Source organism: Homo sapiens, chromosome 6 (genome assembly GCF_000001405.40).
Source record: "Homo sapiens chromosome 6, GRCh38.p14 Primary Assembly".
NCBI classification, from domain to species: Eukaryota; Metazoa; Chordata; class Mammalia; order Primates; family Hominidae; genus Homo; species Homo sapiens.
In genome coordinates this window covers 40693704-40697842 of record NC_000006.12, presented here as the reverse complement: position 1 = coordinate 40697842, position 4139 = coordinate 40693704, and positions in this window count along the sequence as shown.

The window sequence follows — 4139 nt, the reverse complement described above, 5'->3', positions numbered from 1 at the left end:
ATAGGACCAGGACTGGACTCCTAGCATGATGCTCATCTCACCACCAATCACCTCCTGTTCTTGCTATTGAAGGCAGAAAATGGAGGTGAAATATTAAGAACCTAGTGCGGCCATTTTCAAATGTGTGCACTAGAACCTCTGTAGAAGAGACAGTTGGCACAGAGGGGGCCTTTTTATGGTCTCGCATCTCTAATAATCTCTGCCTAGCACAGCATATGCTTCTAGTCATATTGCTGTAGAGAAGAACAGTGACAGGAAGGCGAGGTAAACAGTCATTATAGTAACTAAGCTGGCAACCTCTGATGGGCATAGTTCTGTTCCCAGAGATTCCACCTCCAGTGTGTTTGAAAGAAGCTTGAATGCCACCAGGAGGTGGAGGATGCTTTGGGAATGGGGTCCTTCCACCTTCCCTACACCCTCTCCGTCTGGTGAGGGATAAAGATTCTACACTTGATGAGCACATATCTGCACAGGTGATCGTTTGGAAACCGGAACCGAGTGAGCAGCAAGTTGCAGGAAGGTGAGGCTGCTTGTCCAAAAGGCTAGGCACAACACATTTCTGCAGTCCCATTTGACACTCCTAGAAAGATGAGGCCTATCTGCTGTAGAGGTCATGGCCTCTACAGCATTTGCCCTGACAACCAGATGGTCCTGTCCTTCCCCTGACCTCTTCCTTCCTTCCTTGAAAGTGATGTGATACCTGGAGCTACAGAAACCATCTTGTGACCATGATACTCCAAGCACAAGGAAGAAAGCCAGCTTTTGGAGGGTGGTGGAATGGAATGGTAGGAAAGGCCGAGGTCTCTGGCATCACTGAGTGATAAATCAATACCAACAACACCTACCTCCAGATTACTTGTTACCAAAGAACAATAACCATCTTTTAATTTAAATTATCTGATTGGGTTTCCTGCTAATTGCAGTTGAATGCATTCCTAATGATATGAGCTTCAGAACTGGGCTTTGCTGTTGAGTGATGTTCTAACTTTATAACTATGCATGTTGGATACTGTGAGGTCTTTAGGAGGATAGGAGGTGGGGGAAGTTGAGAAGGAAGGGCTTCCAGAAACCCCATCCTGATGGTCAACTGAGAAGTCTCACTTTTATTTTTTTTTATACGTTAGAAATGAGGTTCCCTGGTGTTGGTTGTGCCCCACCTTAAAGGTAATTAATGTTTGCAGAGCTCTTAATCAGTTAAACAACTTTGCTACCATTTGAGTTGGGGAAGAATGTTATTTTCCCCATTTTCAAGGAAACTGGCTCAGAGAAGTGAAGTGTCTTAGCTAAAGTAACACAGCTGTTGGGTGGCAGGGATGGGGTTCAAATTACAGGTTTTCTAATTTCAAATCCTCTGGAGGTGACAGCTCCACCCTTGTGGAGACCCCAAAGATCCCGCATTTAGGGAGCCCCTGGTCAGATAGGAACAAAATAATCTGAAAGGCAGAGACTCAGGCCCAACTTTTGAGGAGTGCAGGGACTTCTGAAAGAATTAAAGGACCCAACAAATCCCTGAGAGAGGAAAGGATGCCAAAAGAGGAAATGTATGTGTCTGTGGCAGCCCTATGCAGCCTTATGCAGAACGCGACAGGCAGATGTGGGACAGTAACCCCTGACAGTCGCCTGAACAGGGCATGCTGGGCCAGTTTCTGAAAGAGGAAAGAAAATGGAGAACAGCATTCTGGGGGTGGAAAGAGGGCTAAGAATAAAGGTTTCTGGCCAATAAGAGTTCCAGAGAAGCTCACCCTTGGCGGGCCACCTGCTCAGGCTGCAAAGTTCTGCTACATTTGGGTCTGTCTGCATCCTCAAAGCTCTTCTTCCTGGTGTGTGGACTGCCCATTCATCTCCAGAGCCAGCCTAGCCTCAGGCTCAGTAGGGCGAATACAAGGACAAGTGCCAAGTCACCTGTGTCCCTCACAGCTGCACAGCCGGCTCCAGCTGGCTGCAGAGGACACTTTGGCAGAGAACTGAACTCTAAGCTCCCCCATCAGTTGGGTGCTCTTTGAAGATGGGACCTCCGCCTCTCCCATCAGAATGGAAGCTCCTTGGGAGCAGGAGCTCTGTCACCCCCATTAGACGGGAGGCTCTTGAAAGTCAGGGGTTATAATTCTGTCAGATGGGGAGTTCTCTGAGGAGAAGGGCTGCATCTCCCCCATCAGATCAAGGGTTCTCTGATCACAGAGATTGTTTTTCTGTCAGCCTTAGGGATAAAGAAATAAGACAAACAGTACCCTCTGTGGGTGGAAGAGGTGGCTGTGTTAGTCTGGGCTCTGCACTGCTTCCACCAGGCTATGGTTAAGGGACTAGTTACCAGCAGACTGTTTTTTTGCTCAAGTCTTCTTTTCTAAAATGGCCTTAGAAAAATTCAACACTTTTGTCTTACCTTCCTCACACCCACCCCGAGTTTCTTGGTGAGACAGATGGGAACATCACCCTCAGTTTCATGCTCTGATTGGTCTTTAGAGCTCAGAGGAGATTCTCTCTGCCTACTCAGCAGCTCAGGCTACTGCCGGTAGGAATGAAAGCCATGGGACAGCCCAGGTTCTGCCACAGGGTTTCTGGGTAATGTAGTTCCTTACCTTCTTCCTGCTCCTGTTGGAAGGAAATGGCTTCAAATCTTAAAGTAGCTTTTGTGAGGGGGATCCCTTCAGAAGGGAAGGGAGTAATAGTATAATTGGAGTTACAGAAACAGTGGTTTTCTTTTTTATAGATTGACACAGTTTAGAGATTTTCAGAAAGGGCAGGTTGCTCTGATACAGACCTGCAACCTGCAATTGCAATGGTGTGTTTTTTTTGTTTGTTTTTTGTTTCTGAGACTGGGTCTTGCTCTGTCACCCAGGCTGAAGTACAGTGATGTGATCATAGCTCACTGCAGCTTCGACTTCCTGGGCTCAAGTGATCCTCCCACTTCAGCCTCCCAAGTAGCTGGGACTACAGGTCCATGCCACCATGTCCAGCTAATTAAAAAAAATTTTTCTTTTGTAAAGACGGGGTCACTATGTTGCCCAGGCTGGTCTTGAACTCCTAGGCTCAAGTGATCCTCCTGCTTTGCCCCCCAAAGTGCTGGGATTAAAGGCATGAGCCACTGGGCCTGGTTGCAGTGCTGTTTTTGATAAGATCCTGCCCCCTCTCTCCTGATGGAAGTTGCTATTTCCCCACGATTAAGGGTGGGGCTGAGGCTGGGTGGGCCAGTGGGATTTGGTAACTGAGAAGTGCTTCTGCTTCCTGTGGAGATCCCATAGTGGGCACCACAGTGCTTTGTTTCCAAGTATTGATCCAGGCTGGTGGTTATTCATTCACAATGAAGCTTTACCAGTCCACAAGGAAATGAGAAAATAAGAAAAATGTAACTTGTTTGTTGTAAAGGTAAACATATTTAATTTAAAGGACTGTCCTTTGGTTCGATTTTTTTACTTTTTAATATAAAAATGTGATAGAGACATGGGAGAGGGCCCAGCAGGGAAGGAGAGGGAAGAGGTTGCCCCATGTGGTGGGTCTCAACATGATTGCTTATGTGTTGGGATATTCATAAATGCAATATTCATAAGTGCAGATATACTGTGAGCTATCTGCAAATTCTGAATTGTCTATGCTGAAGTAAGGGAGAAGTAGAGATTATATAGAGAATTGTTCAATACTGGAGGTGAAGCAAGGAAGGAAAATAAAATTTATTGAGGACGAATTTGGAAAAGATAATTGACTTGCCCAAGGTCACCCTGATAGTTAACATCAGAACTGGGACTAGAATCTGTGTCTCCTAATGCCCAGCCTGGAGGATACTGGATTATAGTAATAATGATTATGTTAATAGTGAACATCCATTGAGCTCATGCTAAGCACTTCACAAGCAGTATCTCTCTCGTCTCATGACAGCCCGCTGAGTAAGCTCAGGGATTAGACTATTTACAGATGGATGGTTCAAAGATGACTTCATTTCAATTCAAGACACATCCACTGAGCCCCCATTAGGTCCCATTCCAGGTGCTGTACTAGGGTTGGGACATGGGAACATTAATAAGAGGGGGTTTCTGCCCTGAACCAGCTCAGTGGGGAAACATGTGCAATGAAATGATTTCAGTGAAATGTGCTGAGTCTCATGAGCAATTTTTATATGGGAGTATGTTGGGGCAGGTTGCCAGATT